The sequence below is a fragment of the Homo sapiens genome, chromosome 14 (assembly GCF_000001405.40).
Source record: "Homo sapiens chromosome 14, GRCh38.p14 Primary Assembly".
Lineage (NCBI taxonomy): Eukaryota > Metazoa > Chordata > Mammalia > Primates > Hominidae > Homo > Homo sapiens.
In genome coordinates, this window is record NC_000014.9 from 38018521 (window position 1) to 38040669 (window position 22149).

General features: G+C 35.9%; 1 long non-coding RNA gene across 2 annotated transcripts in view; it reads right to left on the reverse strand.

Annotated features, from left to right (window-relative positions):
• LOC105370456 (uncharacterized) overlaps nucleotides 1-21095 on the reverse strand; it is a 36505-nt gene extending 15410 nt beyond the window's left edge. Inside the window, exons 1-3 of one of the 2 annotated variants that reach the window (XR_943761.4) lie at nucleotides 18283-21095; nucleotides 11968-12071; nucleotides 11607-11749 (exon numbers count right to left, since the gene is read on the reverse strand). This is a non-coding gene — a long non-coding RNA (uncharacterized LOC105370456). The remainder of the gene's footprint in view (nucleotides 1-11606; nucleotides 11750-11967; nucleotides 12072-18282) is intronic. The other variant, XR_943760.4, reaches the window with a different exon arrangement.
• Nucleotides 21096-22149: the final 1054 nt, after the last annotated feature.

The window sequence follows — 22149 nt, forward strand, 5'->3', positions numbered from 1 at the left end:
AAGCCTGGTTTCTATGGCAGCTCACGCCTGGATCACTACAGTACTGCCAGACTCTGATTTTTGGCAGCAACATCAGCAAATACAATTAAGAATGATACATGTCAAGGGGTTGATGAACCTTTCCAGTGTCTTTTCTGTAAGTCACTAATAACCAGAACTGGCCTTTCCTGTTTGAATAAATACCACTGGCCTTCAATGATTTATTACGAAAAGGGAGTGAAACACTAGCAAGAAAAGTAAGACATTCTCTGGATAAGTGGGAGGAGCTCAAAGTGGATTAATTTGAACATTAAGGGGAATATAACCTTATTTTATGAAGTATAGTATGCCAGATAATATTGATTAGGATAAGCTAGCTCATGAAAAAGTCAGGATCATGCATACCATGACATAGGAAGAATCCAATGAGCCTGACTGGATTTCCGTCAAGCCAGATTTCAGACCCAGATTAATATCAACTGCCTTATCAGCAATACTTCATGGGTTTATAGCTCCTTTGTTAGTTTGGGAGTCTTATTCAGGTGTTGAGTGATCCTCTCTAAAGGTGAGACATTCAGCCACAAATTCAATAAATTTCAAGTACAAATATATTTGTTCAAAAATCTCAGCCTAAAAGTCTGCTGGGATGATGAGGAACGAAAGACACAAGGACTTTATTTTGCTAAGCCTAGTGAAAAAGGAAAATGCAAGTTCTCCAGATAGTAATGACATCCCCAATGAGCACTTCAACTACAAAGGAAGCAAAACTGAGTTAAAATTCATATGTCTGCAGGGGCTGATCATGAGACCGTTTGTAGAAAAGCTGGAACAGAAGATGCTGTTTAGCTCTACCTGTAAGGGTCTTGCCAGACATTGTATAAACATTTAACTCAAGGAGGAGCAAGAAATAGTGCCCATTATCTTCTGTGATAACACAGCATCTGATTACTTGTTCTCTCAGATACCCTGCAGTTCAGAGTATTAATTTCTCTATACCTTGAAGTGGCTGATAGCAATATCTTTCAGGTCTTTAATTAAAGGCTAAAAGCTGATTCTAGAATCTCTCCATTGTCTGGAGCTATTCTGATACAAACTCAACTTGCCACAAAGAATCTCTGAAAAAAAAAAAAAAGAAAATGAAAGAGAAAATAGTTGAAAAGAAAAATACCAGGTATTTAATTCAATCTCCATTAAGCTTTCCCTTCACATATAATCTTTGAGTTAGACAGTTCCTCTCCCATAAGGATAACACTTTCTTGTCACTAATCCCTGGATAACACAAGTCAGGGGAAACAGGAAATAGATACAATAATAGATTCGAGTCTCTGGATTTTTCATTTAGCCAATAGTAAGGTAGGAAAGTGGCCAGATAAAAAAATAAAACAGCACAGACAGAAAATATCTATTTGTCCATGGAGAGAACACAAGCACTTGATGGACAGAAGCCCAGAATATACAGGATTGTTTTTTCACACATAAAGCAATATTTTAAATACTCTGTGGTGTATTCATTTTAACTTAATCGAGCAAATGCAAATACATTAAAGAGTCCCATAGCAGCACTATTTTTAATAGCAACAAACAGAAAATAACTTGTTTATACTGTGACTATTATTTAGATATTATAGGTCACTAATTATTTAGATCAGGGGTCAATAAACTATGTTTTGTGGGCCAAATCCCGCCTATAGCCTGTTTTTGTCAAGTTTTATCAGAGTACAGCCATACCCATCAGTTATGTATTATCAATGGCAGAGTTGAATAGTTGTGACAGAGACCAAATATTTCACAAAGCCTGAAATATTTGCCATATGATTCTTTACAGAAAAAAAATCTGACAACCAGCAATATAAATGGTTGCACATATATTCAATGGAACACTCTGTTACAATTAAAAGAATGTAAAAGGTTGGTATATAACAACATAAAAAGATATCGATATCAAGAAAAAATGATTCAAAACAGTGTGTATGTAAGTATTTTCAGATTCCGTTTGCCTAAAAACAAAGCATATGCATATGCATCAAACTTCTGAAAGCATATACACACACAAAAATTTAATAATGATTACCTCTGGTGAATGAAATTAGGAAGTAGGACTGGGGAGAGGGAGAATGAAGAAAGGAGGGAGAATGAAGAAAGGAAAGAGGGAGAAACATTTATTTATATTTAATATCCCTCTATATCATCACAAATTTTAAAATGCCCATGTTATATAATTGAAAATAAACTAAAATGAGAATTATAGAAGCAATAGGAATTTAAGAATATTTTATTTGTAGAATGAATGAATGTAATTCTCAATGATATAATGCCAATTTTCTTTTCTTATGAATGTTTTTGTTGAATGTTTATGTAATATTTCCTGTGTCTTTGACTAAGAGTATGTGTTATCTCTTGCTTAAATATCTATCTGTGATTTTAGTATCACTATTTGCTTTAGATGATTACAACTTACCTCTTCATTAGTGAAGTGAAAAAAATCGCTAAGACATTTTATAACATATTTTTGCTGTGAGGAATTTCACATAATAGTGTTGTTTTCCAATATGATTTATAAAGCGCTATCTTAAACCTCTCGAGTTTTCACACAAATTTAACAATTTTTGGTGTTTCTAATTGTAGAGAAAGATGTTTGATTTGGGACAAATTATTTAAATATTTCATGATTTCTTAATTTGCAGCATAGAAAAATGTTACCTACCTTACCACATAAAATTTTTGTGTTAAGAAGGTTTTTAAGGGTTCCATAAATTATCAATTATTTCAAATATATTTATTTTGGCACAGTTTTAGTGCAATCAAAATGTGGACAGTCACAAGAAGATTTTTGATTGTAAGTGAGTAAGGAATCAATTAAAACAGTGTTCTAGAAGAACTGTAGTCTTGAATTTTAGACTCTTAGACCACAAACGAACCTGGAAAAGTCACACATAAACTGTACAAAATTAGATAATATGGGCTTCAAACAAAAACAACAGCAAGCTCTCTTTCGGTATGAAAACTCTACTTTTTTTTTTTTTTTTTTTTTTTTAAAGAGCCAGTCCTTGTTTTCTTGTCTCTAAAATGTGGATGGTTATACTGTATCTGCTTGCCAAATTCATAGAATTCTTGTGAAAATTAAATGGATTAATTTATGCTAGAGAAATCTATAAATTATAAATCTCTGTACAATAATTTTTCAAAATATGGTATGCAGATAATTTTCAGGGGGGTGACAAAATTTTTATGTTTTAATGATTACATATCTATATTTACTTCTTGTTTATGATGAGTGATATGCTACTTTTATTGTAGCTTCCTTTGAAATTAATGTATGGAGGTAAAAATGTGAGTCAACTTAAAAGAAAAGAAAATTACTAATACTATAGGTAAAATGTGGATATGACAAAAATCGTGATGATGGTATGTGCACAAGCGAAGTTCAGAAAACATTGCATTGTGAAGATATAAATTTGATTTAGATTTTCATATTTTAGTATATGGTTCTCAACTGGCATTGTTTAATTTGCTGTGGTTGCAAACATATTGTGTTAAAACAAGACATATGGAGCTCTTTTACAGCAAAAGAAGAAAGAAATGAAGAAACAGATGCCTGAAGCATTTGGGAAAGTAACTCCACTGCAGCTGAAATACTGGATGTTGCAGGGTCCATTGTCCCAAGTTAGTATAGGTTGCATTGATTTCATTGAAAGAAGAAAAACAACCATAGTTAGAGGACTGAAAAGTATACTTCTAGAGAGAGAGGGCCTGCAACATTTCTGAGAAATTAACTTTAGTTCACATTACCTTAAAAATTACTCTGGAGAAGTGTGATTTCTATGATGAGCACATCCTACTGCATGTCAGATCTGACTTCCCAGACCTGCCAGCCCAGTGAGACACTAAAGCTGCTTGAATTAAGTACAAGTAGCAACTAGGACATGGGTTGGCCTTTGGGAAACCACTTCTGTGTTTACAACCTAATGCTACTGGAATTCTGATTGAACCTTCATGACTTTAGGTGACAAAGGCATACCAAACTCAGGCTGGGAGGAAATGAGTTGGGGCAGTGGTGCCCATCTTCCTCTATGATCTACAAAGCAAAAATGTCATGCCATACCCCAGCAACAAGCTCACCCTCAAACTTCCTCTGATTCCTTTCCTAGTCTGCCCAGTAGACTGTTCCAAGAGAAGAAGTCCCTTCTCCAGGGCACCTGTACATTTTCCCCTCTTGTTTCCTTAAACCTGTGTTCTGCCTGAAAAGAATGCATTTTTTCCGCTCATCCAATTTCATGCCTTAGGAGTGCAAAAGCAAGCTACTGCATTGAAAATTGAGGAATTGATTCCCAGAGTCTCACAAAGCCCTGAAGCAGAGCAGTTCCAGTCTCTGCCCTTCAGTTAGGATATTGGTGCTTCCTGGTTTCTAGTACCTGCCTGTATGACTACTGATTTCTTATGTCTCTGCAAATTCCGGCGATAAGGAATTGCTTATGCAGCAGTTCAGAGGCAAGATGGAGTATCTCTTTCCATTATTTATTTAAAAAATTCTTTGAAGGCTGCCATTTAACCTCAGCAGGGAAGTTAGGATTTTTCACCCGCACATAGTGATTTTATTCCTCTGAAGCCTTATATGAATTATTAAGCTTTTAAGAAAAGAGAGCAAATAGAGTTTTGCAAGGTAATCAAAAGCAAATATGCTAATTTGGGTCTATAGGACAGTATTTTTATCAGAAGGAACATTAAGGTTAGCTCTGTTATTCATCTAAATTAAAGAAATCAAGAAAAAGAACAAGACTAGCAAATTACCTTTACTGATGGTCGAAATTAGCCCTATCTTGGACTCTTTCTTAATAGTCTTTCTCAGCATAAAACCTAGTTACTAGGATACAGCCGTGTGGCAGCATCTTTATTAGAAATTGTGTGGGAGAAAAAAAGGTCAGATACTCATTTCCAGTAACAGTTTGACAAGTAACACGGAGAAAAGGGCAGGAAGGAATTGAGGCTTGTGATGTTTTCTTATAGCAAGATTTTGAGATAATAGCACTTATGTGAATAGGAAGTCTCCAGGAATACATTTTATTAATCTCAGGGTTCAAAGAAAAAGACATGGTACCATATTATCATGAAAATTAAAACAAGCCTAAAAAGATACATAAATATCAGGTAAAGGACAAAAATATCATCATCTGTCACTGTTAAAATTTTTTTAAATCTTAACTCTAGCTATATCCAAAAGTCTTATAATTATATTGATAGAAGTCACATCTTCAATTACCATAATTGGTCAATAGTCAATAGTTAAAGGGCTTAAGCATTACAGAAAACTTTATAAGACCCAGGTGGGTCTCCTAAATCCCACAAAAAGGTCATTATCCCTCTCTGTACTGGTAGATCTTTGTATCAGAATAGAGATATATTTGTAAAATTTGTACTAATGAAAATTTCTTTGAGTTAAACTCCATCTTATCATTGTCTTCTAATGAAATTAAAGATATATTAATAAATTAGTAGGTTTTAATAATCAGAATTATGCCACTTTAGAGACATACTAATACATTTCCAAAATTCACATAAAGATGTCAAACCTCTATGGTTAAAAAGTCTAAGTTATTAACAATTTACTGTGTAACAAAGAAATCAAGACAATAAAAATACCTGACATTTCAGACACTCGGCCTTATCTCTCCTTTCCTGGGCTTCTCCCTATCTTGAGCATTGCTATTGCACACAAAGGCAGAAGGGGCCAGAACAGTGTTGTACAATTTGGCTTCCAATATGCCTGGCATTGAAACTCAGGTCTGTACTAGCTCCCCAGCAATGGTTCTTAACCAGAGCGGAATGGCTGAAATGACAAACATAGGATTCAGAATCTAGATGGCAATAAATCTCACTGAGATTCAGGAGAAAGTTGAAATGCAATCTAAGGAATCTAAGGGATCCACTAAAATGATTCAAGAGATGAAAGACAAAAATAGCTATTTTAAGAAAGAACCATATGGATCCGATAGAGCTGAAAGACTCACTGCAAGAATTTTATTATATAATCCCAAGTATTAACAGCAGGATAGACCAAGCTGTGGAAAGAATTTCAGAGCTCAAATACTGATGCTTTGAATCAACTCAGACAAAAATAAAGAAAAAAGAATAAATAAAAATGAACAAAACCTCTGAAAAATATAAGATTATGTAAAAAGACCAAACCTATGACTCATTGGTGTCCCTGAAAGAGAGGGAGAAACAGCAAGCAACTTGGAAAATATACTTGAGGATATTGTCCACAAAAATTTCCCCAATCTTGCTAGAGAAGTTGACATTTACATTCAAGAAATTCAGAGAACCCCTGAAAGATACAATACACAATGACCATCCCCAAGACACATAGTCATCAGACTCTCCAAGGCCAATGTGAAAGAAAAAATATTAAAGACAGTTAGAGAGAAGGTGCAGGTAACCTATAAAGGGAACCCCTTTAGGTTAACAGTGGACCTTTCAGCAGAAATCCAACAAGCCAGAAGAGATTGTGGGCCTATATTCAGCATCCTTAAAGAAAAGAATTTCCAACCAAGAATTTTATAGCCAGTCAAGCTAAGCTTCATAAGCAAAGGAGAAATAAAATTATTTTTAGACAAGCAAATACTAAGGGAATTTGTTATCACCAGACCTACTTACAAGAGGTCCATAAGGAAGTGCTAAACATGGAAATAGAAGATCATTACCAACCAAAACAAAAGCACACTTAAGTACACAGACTATTGACACTATAAAGCAACTACACAATCAAGTCTACATAACGACAAGTTAACAACATGATGACAGCATCAAATCTACACATATCCATACTAACTTTGAACATAAATGGGCTAAATACTCCACTTAAAAGGCACAGAGTGACAAGTTGGATAAAGAAGCAAGACCCAACTTTATGCTGTTTTCAAGAGACCCATCTCACCTGCAGTGACAACCATAGGCTCAAAGTAAAGGGATAGAGAAAGATCTATCAAGAAAACAAAAAACAAAAAAGAGCAGGGGTTACTAGTCTTATTTCAGACAAAATAGACTTTAAATCAACAATGATCAAAAAGGACAAAGAAGGGCATTATATAATGATAAAGTGTTTAATTCAACAGGAAGACTTAACTATCCTAAATATATATGCACCCAACATAGGAGGACTCAAATTCATAAAATAAGAAGTTCTTAGAGACCTATGAAGAGGCTTAGATAACCATACAATAATAATGGGAGACTTCAAAACCCCACTGACAGTATTAGATCATCAGGGCACAAAACTAACAAAGATATTTGAGACCTAAACTCTACACTTGACCAAATGTATCTAATAGACATCTACAGAACACTCCACCCAACAGCAATAAGAATATACATTCTTCTTATCTGTACATGGCACATATTCCAAAATCAACCACATGCTTGGCCATAAAGCAATTCTCAAAAAACTCAAAACAACTGAAGTCATACCAACCACACTCTCGGACCACAGCACAATAAAAATAGAAATCAATACTGAGAGGAACTCTCAAAACCATACAATTACATGGAAATTAACCTCCTACTGAATGACTTTTGGGTAAACAATGAAATTAAGGCAGAAATCAAGAAATTCTTTGAAACTTTTATCAGTTTCAAAGATACAACATACCAGAATCTCTGGGACACAGCTAAAGGAGTGTTAAGAGAAAAATTTATAGCACTAAATGCACACATTAAAAAGTTAGTTAGAAAGATCTCAAATTAGCAACCTAACCTCACACCTAGAGGAGCTAGAAAAACAAAAGCAAACCAACCTCAAAGCTAGCAGAAAAACACAATGAAAATCAGAGCTGAAATGAATGAAATGGAAATGAGAAAAAACACCCAAAAGAGAAACAAAACCAGAAGTGTCTTTTTTGAAAGAATAAATAAAATTGATTGATAGACAACTAGCTAGAAAAATAAAGGAAAAAGGAGAAAAGCCAAATAGATACAATCAGAAATAATAAAGGGGACATTACCACTGACCCCACAGAAATACAAAATGCCCCTGAGACTATTACAAACACTTCTATACACACAAACTAGAAAACCTAGAAGAAATGGATAAATGCCTGGAAACATACAACATCCTAAGATTGAACTAGGAAGAAATTGAAATCCTGAACAGACCATTAATGGATTCAGAAATAGAATCAGTAATAAAAAAACCTACCAAACAGAAAAAGCCCTGGACCGGACATATTCACAGCTGAATTCTACCAGATGTATAAAGAAGAGCTGGTACCATTCCTACAAAACCTAGTCCAAAAACTGAGGAGGAGGGACTCTAACTCATCGTATGAGACCAGCATCATTCTGATACCCAAACGTATCAGAGACACAATGAAAAAAAGAAACTTCAGGCCAATATCCCTGATGAACATAGATGCCAAATCCTGAACAAAATACTAACAAACTGAATCCAGCAGCGCATCTAAAAGCTAATCCACCATGATCAAGTGGTGGATTCCTTTTGGGATTCAAGGTTGGTTCAACATACACAAATTAATCAATGTGATTCATCACATAAACAGAACTAAAAACAAAAACCATGTGATTATCTTAATAGATGTGGAAAAGGCTTTTGATAAAATTCAACATGCCATCATTTTAAAAACCCTCAACAAACTAAGCATCAAAGGAACATATCTCAAATTAAGAGTCATGTATGACAAACCCACAGCCAACATATACTGAGTGCACAAAATCTGAAAGAATTCCTCTTGAGAACTGAAGCAAGACAAGGATGCCCACTCTTACTACTCCTATTCCACATAGTACTGGAAGTCCTACCACAACAATCAGGCAAGAAAGAGGTGTAAAAGGCATCAAAATAGGAAGAGGGAAGTTAAACTACCTCTCTTCACAGATTATATGATTCTTTACCTAGAAAACCCCATATCTCTGCCCAAAAGCTCCTATACTATAGCTATCTGATAAACAACTTCGGCAAAGTTTCAGGATATAAAATCAATGTACAAAACTCAGTAGCATTTCTATACATCAGTAACTTCCAAGCCAAATAAAGAACATAATCCCATTCACAATAACCACAAAAAGAATAAAATACCCAGGAATACTAACCAGGGAGGTGAAAGATCTCTATGATGAGAATTACAAAACACTGCTCAAAGGAATCAGAGATGGCACAAGCAAATGGAAAATCATTCCATGTTCATAGATAGGAAGAATCAATATTGTTAAAATGGCCATACTACTCAAAGCAATTTACATATTCAGTGCTATTCCAATCAAATTAACAGTGGCATTTTTTCACATAATTAGAAAAAAACTATTCTAAAATTCATATGGAATTTTAAAAAAGTCTGAATAGCCAATACAATACTCAGCTGAAAGAATAAAGCCAGAGCCATCACATTACCTGACTTTACTATAAGGCTACAGTAACCAAAATATTATGGTACTGGTACAAAAACAGACACATAAACCAATGGAACAGGTTAGAGAACCCTGAAATAAAGCTGCACACCTACAACCATATGATATTCAGCAAAGCTGACAACAACAAGCTCTGGGGATAGGACTCCCTATTCAACAAATGGTGCAGGGATAACTGGCTAGCCATATGTAGAAGATTGAAACTAGGCCATTTACTTTCACCATATTAAAAACTCAACTCAAGACGGATTAAAGATATAAATGTAAAACCTAAAACTATAAAAACTGTACAAGAAAACCTGGGAAGTACCATTCTGGACATGAACCCTGGCAAAGATTCCATAGTGAAGACTTCAAAATCAATCGCAAGAAAACTAAAAATTGACAAGTGGCACCTAATTAAAGAACTTCTGCACAGCAAAAGAAACTATCAACAGAGAAAACAGACAACCTACAGAATGGGAGAAAATATTTGCAAACTGTGTACCCAACAAAGGTCTAATATCCAGATTCTAGAAGGAACACAAATCAACAAGAAAGCACAAACAATCCCATTAAAAAAAATGGGCAAAGGGCATGAAAAGACACTTCTCAAAAGAAGACATATATAAATGCAGCCAACAAGCATCTGAAAAAAATACTCAACATCATTAATCATTAGAGAAATGCAAATCAAAACCCCAATGAGATATCATCTCACACCAGTCAGAATGCCTATTATTAAGTAAAAAAAAAAAATATGCTGGTGAGATTGTGGAGAAAAGGAACGCTTATAGACTGCTGGTGGGAATGTAAATTAGTTCAGCCACTGTGAAAAGAAGTTTGGAGATTTCTCAAAGAACTGAGAACTAGCATTTAACTTGGCAATCCCTTTATTGGGTATATACCCAAAGGAATATAAATCATTCCACCATAAAGATACATGCACATGTATAGTTCACTGGAGCACTACTTACAATAGCAAAACCATGGAGTCAACTTAAATGTCCAAAAGTGGTGGACTTGATAAAGAAAATGTGATACATATATACTGTGGAATACTATGCAGCCATAAAAAAGAATTAAATCATATCTTTTGCAGTAACATGCATGAAGCTGCAGGCCATTATTCTAAGCTAATTAACACAGGAGCAGAAAACCAAATACTGCATGTTGTCACTTGTAAGTGAGAGCTAAACATTGACTACATGGACACAAAGAAGGGAAAAATAGACACTAGGGCTTACTTGAGGGTGGAGGGTGGGAAGAAGAGATAGGAGATTAAAAAATCTACCTGTGAGGTACCATGCACATTACCTGGGTGACAAAATGATCTGTAGGCCAAACCCCCCCGACATGAAATTCACTCATGTGACAAACCTGCATATGTACACCCTGTTCATATAAATAACTTGGAAGAAAAAACATACAGGTAAATATTATTTAAAACTGTAACTCAGGTCCACCAATTTATTAGCTGTGCGACCTTGGGAGGATCACATAACTCTTCTGAGGCTCAGTTTGTTCAACTGTAAAATTGATTGAACAGTTTTCAGGCTCATTATGACAATGAATGAGATTCTGTATTTAAGTGGTAGGTATTTAATTAATATTAGCTGTTACCAACACTATTATTACTACAGTTTTGGGAAGGAGCCAGCAAGAACAGTCCTCTTCCCTGACTAAAGGTGGAACCAACTGAGGAAAAGACTTCTTTGTCTATTTCTAATGATTCCTCTGTAAATAAAATGTACCAAACCAGTCACCAACACAGCTGGACAGGGACAAGACTCTTACCTTGGAAAGAGGATAGGGATAGAGTAGAACATACCATCCCACTAGACAGGGATGCTTCAGAAGAGAGAGAGCCCAGAGGACATCAGTCATGCATTCACAGATGCTTCTAAACTCACCTATTCCTTCTACCCTGGAAGTGTGAACAAGGGGGATGAGAAAAGCTGAAATCCCTCCAGGTGGAAACACAAGAGGTAGGGGCATTGAGATTTCTCCCTAAATATTATTATGAGCTTGATGCCAATGATTTTAGGAAATTGATGATTTTATAGCTTAAAAATTTTATTACTACAATACTTGTATATTTATAATTTAGTGTGTGCATATATATATATATATTTATTTCATATATATATATATATATATATAATTTCTCATTCCTTCTCCTTTGATATTTTTTCTACTGTGGTAAATTGAACTATTTGACTCCCAATTATTACCTTTTTCCCACTAAAAAATTACATGTTGACTGGGCGCAGTGGCTCACACCTGTAATCCCAGAACTTTGGGAGGCTGAGATGGGTGGATCACGAGGTCAGGAGATCAAGGCCAGCCTGGTTAACGTGGTGAAACGCCGTCTCTACTAAAAATACAAAAAAATTAGCCAGGCGTGGTGGTGGGCACCTGTAGTCCCAGCTACTTGGGAGGCTGAGGCAGGAGAATGGCATGAATCCAGCAGGCAGAGCTTGCAGTGAGCCGAGATCGCACCACTGCACTCCAGTCTGGGCGACAGAGTGAGACTCCATCTCAGAAAAAAAAAAAAAAATTCACGTTTACCCTTTGCCACAAATTTTGTATTACCTTCCCCATAGGTGGAGTATACTTTTCCATCCCATTAGCTTTGTCCATGGCCATTTGACGTGGGTTGGTCAGTGGAACGGTTGTAGATGTGAGGCAAGCAGCATCTGAACAGAAGCTTTAAATGAGCTTGTGTGATTTTTCTCCCTTTACCCTTAACATTTCCCTCTACCATGGGAACACCATGCCCTAGGCAGTGGCCACTACTTAATTCTGGATCTCGGGACAAGTAGCCATACAAGAATGGCCCACTGGACCTAGTGCAGCCCAGTGAAGTCCATATCTGGTTACCTATGTAACCAACATGTCTGCAGCTGACCTGCATCACTCATGTAAAGGAATAAATATTGTAAGCTACTATAATTTTTGGGTTGTAAGTAGCATAACACAATTGACTAAACAGTACACCATTTGTTCTTAACAGAGTCTTGACCAGACAGCTTGAAGGGTCATGATCTCAGATGAGAGGCAAGGAGAGCAGTCAAAGCTCAGGACTAGCTCATACAAAACCTGTGCAAGTGTGCTGTGTCAGTCCCACACCTAGTAACCTGTTCCTAGCATAATGGTGACAGCCAGGTTTCTCACTGAGACTATTAACACTTTTTGTGTTTGACAAGAGTAGGCAAGGTCAAACACTGGCCAGGTGCTGAAGTGTTACATATACTGCCAGAAGCAGCACCATTCATACATACATTCCAAAGGAGGGTTTTCTTAAAGTGAATCTCCTTAAGTTCTAGTAAGTGCATGCCAGTCACAGGTATATTAAATTGTCTTAGCCCTCTTGCATAATATAATGTAACATGTAAACATTACAAATGTGCAATTGCAAAGTGGATTATCGCAAATAGACTAAATCTTATTACAATAAAACATTATAATGGAGTGCTTATGACCCTAAAGATTTCTAAAACCTAATAATGGCCAATTTATTTTGAGAAATATTAAAATAAAATTTGATGCTTTGTTGCTTTGTATAGTGGAATTTAACTAACTTTTTTTTTCCTTTTGTGGGGGCAATGTACAGCAGAGTGACTAAAGGTGCAGGCTTTTAATGAGCTAACAGCAGTCATTTCAAGTCCTGGCCACTCCATGTCCTAACTTTATATTCTTGGGCAAGCCACTTACACTGAGCGGTGTTTCACTTTCCCCATCTACAAAGTAAGGAAAACAGAAACTTCCATAACAACGTTGTAATAAGGACTGTATGAGAGTATATATGGAAAGCATTTATCCCACTGCTAGAATATTGTAAGCACTAGATATTTGTAGACATATTTTTACTGTCATTCTTGCCATGAATATGTGTAAAGCACAAGCAACATTCAGTCTTTTTTAAAGTTTCAGCTTTTCATACTTCCAAATGATAAAATGTGCATAAAATTTTATCAAAAACCAGAATCCTCCTATCATAACAGGAAAAATATGGAGAAAAAGGAAATTCTGTTTTGTTTTGACAAAAGACAAGGCAATAATTTCCGTAAATATTCAACAACTGGCATTGGAACATTTCACAATGTCACTGCAATTTAGTAATAATTATACTAGTTACACTGTATAGCACTTAATCTTTTTAAGATATTTTGCCAACTGCTTTTTTAATCCTCATAGCTATTTTATTATAGAAGTTATTTACATGTGTCATATCCTTGCTATCATTCTCTATCAAAATTAATGATGTTTTTACAAATAATCAATATTGAAAACTTCCACATCAGATACTATCAATGTTTTATATTTTTCTTCACACCTACTTCACTTTCTTCTAGAAGCTTGGATTTTTAATAAGAACAACCTAGATTTAAGCTAGCTCATTTCTTTAAAACTTTCTGTTATTTGATATAAATCATATAAAGAAAAATATGAAAATATTAATATGAATACTCACGTATGCACACCCAGATTTTTTATACTTAACATTTTTCCATGTTTGGCTTTTTAAAAAAACAAAAAACCAGAAATAAAGCTGAGGTCCTTTGTGTAACTTTCCTTCTTTTCTTTCTGCTATTCTCTAAATGCACCTGCTCTTCCTGAATTTGCTATAGTTTTTCATTCTTTTAAACTGCATGGAAATGTTACATATATTAATTATTATGATACAAATTCCATTTTTTCTCAATATCTTATTTGGAAATTTATTGATGTTCACTATTGTAGAGCTACACTGTCCATCTGAACTGTTATATAATATTCCTTTGAGCAAATGACAGTTCATCTATTTTCAGATTCATGGTTGTAACTGTTTGCAATTTAGCAGATACTGTTTTTTGCTCTTATACCCTTGGCACTCACTTCTCCAGATTGAAGGCTGCTTCCTGTGGACACCTGCAGCACTCTGCTGAAAGGTGTCTGTTCTGGCATGCTCAGAGCACACTCAGCTCACTTGCAGGGCAAGTTGAAATGCCAGAGAGACTGAAGCAGCTTTCATTCAATGATAGGCCAGGATTTGGTGGATAAATACCCTACCTGTTTTTACACCTATTGTGAGACAACTCTGAGGTATTTTCCCCACCAGTACTTGCCTCACATCCCATGGTGATAATTTGTTGATTCTGCACCCTTGGGTTTCCTGCCTTTTCCTATCTCATATCTCCACTTCCCCACTCATCCTTTTCTGAGATCACCTCCCAAATAAATTATAGGCATACCTTGGAAATATTACAAGTTTGGTTCCAGACCATCACAATAAAGCAAATATCACAATAAAGATAGTCAAATGAATTGTTTGGCTTCCCAATGCATTGAAAAGTCATGCTTACACTATACTGTAATCTATTAAGTGTTGATTATTGATTATAAGACATAATCAATAGCATTATGTCTAAAAATAGACATACTTTAATTTAAAATACCTTATTGCAAAAAAAAAATGCTAACAATCATTGGAGCCTTCAGCAAGTAGTAATCTTTTTGTTGGTGGAGGATGTTGCCTCAATGTTGATGACTTCTGATGAGTAGGGTGGTGGTTACTGAAGGTTGGGGGTGGTGGGGGTTGTGGCAATTGCTTAAAAAAAGGCAACAATTGCGGCTGGGTGTGGTGGCTCACGCCTGTAATCCCAGCACTTTGGGAGGCCGAGGCGGGCAGATCACCAGGTCAGGAGATCGAGACCATCCTAGCTAACACAGTGAAACCCTGTCTCTACTAAAAATACAAAAAAATTAACCGGGCGTGGTGGCGGGCGCCTGTAGTCCCCAGCTACTTGGGTGGCTGAGCCAGGAGAATGGCGTGAACCCGGAAGGCGGAGCTTGCAGCGAGCGGAGATCGCTCCACTGCACTCCAGCCTGGGTGGCAGAGCAAGACTCCTTCTCAAAACAAACAAACAAACAAAAAAGAGGCAACAATGAAGTTTTCCACATCAATTGACTCTTCTTTACATGAAAGATTTTTGTGTGGTATATGATACTATTTGACAGCATTTTATGCACAGTAGAACTTCTTTTAAAATTGGATTGAGTCCTCTCAAAACTGGCTTCTGCTTTATCAACTAACTTTATGGAATAGTTTAAATCCTTGATTGTTATTTCAACAGTATTCACAACATCTTCCCCAGATGCTATTCTTGATATTCTTGACATGCCATCTCAAGAAACCACTTTCTTTGCTCATCCATAAGAAGCAACTCCCAATTTGTTCAAGTTTTATCATGAGATTTCAGCAATTCAGATACATCTTCAGGATCCACTTCCAATTCTGGTTCTCTTGCTATTTCCACCACACCTGCAGTTACTTTCTCTACTGAAGTCTTGAACCCCTCAAAGTCATTCATGAGGGTTGGAATGAACTTCTTCCAAACTCCTGTTAATGTTTATATTTTGACCTCTTCCTGTGAATCATAAATGTTCCCTTTGGCATCTAGAATTGTGAATCCTTTTCAGAAGATTTTAACTGACTTTTCCCAGATCCACCAGAAGAATTACAATCTATGTCAGCTATGGTCTTACAAAATGTATTTCTTAAATAATAAGGCTTGAAGTTGAAATTATGCTTGATCCATGGACTGCAGACAGATCTTGTGTTAGCAGGCATGAAAACAAGATCAATTTCTTTGTATATGTCTATCAGAACTCTTGGGCAACCAAGTGTATTGTCAATGAGCAGCAATATTCTGAAAGGAATTATTTTTTTCCAAGCATTAGATCTCAGCAATGGGCTTAAAATATTCAGTAAACCATGCTTTCAACAGATGTGCTGTCATCCAGGCTTTTGTCCATCTATAAAGCATGGTAGAGTAGAGTTAGCATAATTGTCAAGGGCAATAGGATTAGCAGAATGGTAAATGATCATTGGCTTCAACTTAAAGTCACCACCTGCATTAGACCCTAACAGGAGAGTTCATCTCCATTGAAAATCTGTTTAGTGTTGCAACCTGCAAGAATAACTTTAGCCTGATCTGAATAATTTGCTATAGCTTCTATATCAGCACTTGCTGCTTTACATTGCATTTTTTATGCTGTGGAAACAGCTTCTTTCCTTAAACTTCATGAACCTCTGCTATGTCAAACTTTTCTTCTGCAACTTCTTGACCTCTCTCTACCTTGATAGAATTGAAGAGAAGTAGGGCCTTGCTCTGGATTAGGCTTTGGCTTAGGAGGATGTTGTGGTTGATTTGATCTTTTATTGACAACTAAAACTTTCTCCATATTAGTAATAAGATTGTTTCACTTTTTTATTATTTGTGTGTTTACTGGAATAGCCCTTTTAATTTTATTCCAGAAATTTTCCTTTGTATTCATAACTTGGCTGTTTGGTGCAGGAGGCTCAGTTTTCAGTCTACTTTGGCTTTTGGCATACCTTCCTCAAAACTAAACTTAATCCTTTCTAGATTTTTATTCAAAGTGAGAGATGTGCAACGCTTTCTTTTTCTTGAACACTTTCTTGAACACTTGAGACCATTGCAGGGTTATTAATTGGCCTAATTTCAACATTGTTATGTCTCAGGGATTACAGAGGCCCAAGGAGAGGGAGATGAGGGAATGGTTGGTTGGTATAGCAATCAGAATATATACAACCTTTATTAATTAAGTTTGCTGTATAATATGGGCACCATTAATGGGACCCAAAAACACAACAATAACATCAAAGATCACTTATCACAAATCACTATAAAAAATAATAATGCAAACGTTTGAAAATTATAAGAATTACCAAAATATGTCACAGAGACACAAAGTGAGCATACATTGGTGGGAAAAATGATGCTGATGAACTTGCTTGACACAAAGTCAAATTTGAAGCCCAGGGATCAGTGGAATTTGAAATACAGGAGTCAAAATCCAGCCTGCCACCTGTTTTGTAAAGCCAGTGAGCTAAGAATGGATTTTGTATTTTTAAAAGATTGAAAAGAAGACTAATTATCTTCGTTTTTTGCCACTATAATAAAATAGCATAGACTGAGTAACTTATAATGAACAGGAATTTATTTGGCTCATGGTTCTGGAGGCTGGGAAGCCCAAAATCAAGAGCCACATCTGGCGAGGGCCTTCTTACTGTATCATAACATGGAGGAAATGAGGAAGACATCACACTGAGAGGGAGCAAGAGACAGCCAAACTCGCTTTTATGACAAACCTACTCTTGTGATAATAAATGCACTCCAATGATAGCAACATTAATCCATTCATGAAGGCAGAGCCCTCATTACCTAATCACTTTTTAAAGGTCCCACTTCTCAACACTTTTGCAATGGGGATTAAATTTCCAACACATGAACTTCAGAGGACGCATTCAAACCATAGTACTAATTTTTCATGACACACAAAATTGTTTTAAATTAAATTTTTACTGTCCATAAGTAAGTTTTTGTTGGAGTTCAGTCATACTCATTTGCTTATTATCTGTGGTCATTTCTGCACTGCTACAACACAAATAAGTAGTTGCTACAGAGACTCTACGGCCTGCAAAGTTTAAAATATTTATTATCTAGATCTCTGCTGAGAAAGTTCACTGATCCTTGCTCTAGGCTATATATTTAGAAGTAGAATTTCTATGTTAAAGATAATGCATATAAATAAATAAATAAATATTTAAACATTATATATATAATATAAAATAAGAATATTTATATTATATAGATATATACTATAAACTTTGCCAAATTGCTCTCCAATGTAGTTGTTCCAACTTATACTTCCACCTACCAGGAGCATTTGTGTGTTTTCACTTCTTTGTATTCTCACCAGGATTTTTTTTTTTTAGCTCTTTTCTAACACTTGCTAAACTATCTTTTTAACCAAGTAAATATTCATGTCTCAGGCTCCTTTAAAGACAATGGTATCTAGAATTGTTTCACTTTAAAAAAAATATTTATTTTTATGGATTACCTTTAAACTTGTGACAAATGATATTGGCTTCCTCTTAGGGGGTGATAGTTTCCTTTTAAAAAATTTTAAGGAAAAAGAATTAGTCAATTAAAAGATAAACGTTAAGTGTATGATAGTAAAGTGATATCCAGATGTAGTGAAACCATAAAGATGGATTCTGAATGATTGAAATTTGTGACTCAGTGAAGCAGTGGAAACTTGCAATCTGTATTTTAATTGTGGATCAATCATTTGCCAGTTGTGTGTTCTTGGAAAAATTATTTATACACTCTACATTTCAGTAAAATGAAGATAACTGCTAAAGCTTCCCTATTTCTTTCATAGTGTTCTTTTGGAGATCTATTGAGATTATAAATGTAGGGTACAATGTAAAAGTAAGACATTGTTCTGTTGTACCATCTCCAGGTGGTGCCTGTATCACAACCTCCCTGAAGTTTCTACTGTTCTCCCCAAAGACAATGGACATGGTCCACTTTTGGTGTTTGGTTTTGCTCACATTGATAACTCTGTCAATAGCACTAACTCCACACTCTCCATTTCTGCTAGTAGAAATTCTATTGACTGTTCATTAGCCTTTTTCTATTAAGTGTTCCCCAGATTCTATTCCCTCTTGTCATGTTACATGTCTTCTTCCAGTAAATCTTCATATCATTTAAAGATATTCTCTGACAACATGGAATATATTTCACTGTTTATTCATTGGACTGCTTATGCATTATGAACATAGATGTTGTACTCCTTTGGCAGCTTCTTCAGACCTAGCATAGTTTCTTGCACAAAATAGTAGCAATGAATATATATTGACCTTAATTTCTTTTATAAGGATCCATTATCCCTTTTAAAAGTATGTTTGCCCCAATTTTGCCTACATGGCTGAAAATATGAGGCCTTAATGTGGTGTACAGGGTCCTCTAAGGTTGACCTCATCCTACCTCTTCAGGCTTATCTTATAATAGCCTGTCTTCTCTCTCTCTGCTTCAGCTGCACTGACCTACCAGTCCCCCAAACATGCATGCTCCTTCAGCAGCAGGGCTTTGGCACATTTTGCTCTGAGTACATAGGACAGTCTCAAATTTCCTTTCATTTATTAATTTTTACTCACTTTTCAGACTTGATTTCAGTGGTGTCTTCTCCAGGGAAGCCTTGCTGTATCTCGACTATGCCAGATTCCCCTCTTGCATGCCCTGATAGCACTAGACTATTCATTGGCAGCATTCATCATAGTGGCAACTTTACATTTATTTATGTGATTATCTGGTTAATGTTAATCCTACCTGTTAAGTCTTGAGCTTCATGAAGACATGGGAATATTTGTTTTTCCTCACCATTGTATCTCTTGCATCTAATAACATGGTACATTGTAAATGCTCAATAAATGTTTGTTGGATGTTTGACTGAATGACTAATGAGTCGCTCTATTCCCTGCAAAATCAAATCAAACATAGTGTCCTTTCTTGCTCCCATCTTCCATGATCAGCAAGAAAATACATACGATCAACGGCATAAAATGAGCTTTATCTACTCTAGCCAAGTCATTTGGGAAAACTTCCAGGGTGTCAAGACACCAGTCATTGCTTCCAGGAATCAGTGACTCCCTGAAACAGTTGTTAGTGACCTGCTATTACTGAACCCCTGCCCCTTGAAAGCTATATCTTCCCCAAGCAAATGCCAGAATGCTTTCTGTGATAGCTGGACTCCAGCTGCAGTCCTCTCTAAATATATCCATGTGCCATTTTACCTTAAATTTCTATCTAAAAATAATCAGGTTGTTGAACCACAGCAGAATAATACACAATTTAAATTCAGTTGCCAAGCAGCACATTTTTGCTTAAGAACAGGCAATCATGCACTTGGTTTCTGACATAAAAAGACCTGTCTTGCTGTAAAGCATGAATTACAGATAACCCTTGAACATTACACATCAAACCTGACACTAAGGGCAGCCTCCATATATATATACATATGTATGCAATTATTATTTAAACTCTATATTTTAAAAGCTTCCTTTATAGCCAACAACAGTAGACTTTATCACCACTTATTAGTTTTAATACAATGACAATATATTATGGCAGAGAGGATTTTAAAAAGTACTTTTCTTTTTGCCACTTCAGTAAATCATATTCTTCTAACTCTGACCCCAATCTCTTTTTTTTAGAATTTCCAAAGTGTTCCAAGAGGTTGTATTTGAGTGAAGATAAAATATAGTGACTTCAAGGTGCCATGTTTACATATCTTTATTTTAAATATCCTCACAGTATAGCTCTGGCAAGGACACGGTCCATGAACAGATGTCGGCATTTGATAGGATATAAACAACAACAACACCACTTCTCATGTTGAAACTCGGCCAAGGCCTCTTTCAGCAACAACATCTACTGTCTCTCTACAACCCTGTTAGCCCGTGTGTGCTACTTAGGGCCACACAATTGAACCATAGGGAATCATCTTTTCCAAGATTTCATTGTGGACAGATACTTACCTGTCTTGATGTAAACTTACCTCTTTAACTTTTGGAGCCCGAACAAAACAAATACTTGAAAGAACAAATACTTGCTTTTAACCAGAGGAAATGATCAAGCAAATGGCCTGGATAATATAGCAGCGAGTACTTGTTTAGTCACCGACCTAATCAGGGAGAGAAATTATTACAGAAAATGTTAATATGTAGTTCTGGATTTTCTAAATTAATGAAGACTCTCATTTCCAATTTCAAAGAGTGCTGTTGGGTATCATTTGTGTTTAACGCCACATTGTTGCTGGGTTGGTAGTGGATTGGCACTGAAATGAAATACAGAAAATGTGCCAGTGAATACCAGAGTGGCCCAGGAAAAAGAGCGCCAATAGAACATCTGGGTTAGAGATACAGCTGCTTTGGGGAAGGCTCTTATCCTTGTAGATTGGGTGATAAAATTCAGTGACTCAGAACTTATATTACTATGTGTTTCCCAATAACTTTCTAACACAGTGTTAGGGTAAGGCTGCCAGGCCTGCTATTTATGGTGGAACCATTTGTGTTTCATTTTATTTTGCTTGATTGCTTCCATTGTGTTGTAATAAAACTTGCACAGAAGTTTTGATAAAGAAGACATCTTAATATTTTTAATAGTGCACTTCACATTTTTATTGAAAATTGAGTGTGTGTCAATATAAAACTCGTGTTGTGCTTAATTTTGTTTGGTGGAACAAAGAAACATTGATGTGAAAAGGAGTTTTTAACTACAAAGTGATATATCGCTAGCTCAACAGTGGTTATTTCTGGCTGGAAAGTTTTGAATGATTTAAAATTATTCCTTTTTCTCTGATTTCTAAATGCCTTACTTGTATTATAAAAGTGCACACACATACATGTATGTGCATGTACATGTGTGCATATATACATATACAGATATATTTAAGTGGATATTTTCCTTAGGCAGAGGTGTTATTTCAAAAGAACATGATATTTTCACCCTCCAAGATTCTATCTCAGAAGTGTGTGTTTATGAGGTAGGAGAAATGAAGAGAAGGGGAGAAAGGGTGGGACAGAGCAAAGCAGAAAACTTCATCTCTTGTCTGTAGCTGTTGTCTGCAGGTAGGTCTTTTGCTTTCCATTTTTCTCTTGGGTCCCATGTGGCTTGGTTATAGAAATGTCACTTTTGCAACTATGAAATTCAGGACAGGAGAAACTAAATAACGTGACATTCTGATGACTTCCTGGGAGCCATGTGCTTTGCTGCCTGAGGCTGCAACAAAGACCTTCCACTTGTGTGCATCATAAATCTTACTTTGGGAAGTCTGAGGTTTGTTGGTGTTGTGGACATTGTTGTTTGCCTAGTGTTTATTTAGGAATTGGGTGGCCATATGGTTCATCTCTTCTTTAGCTGC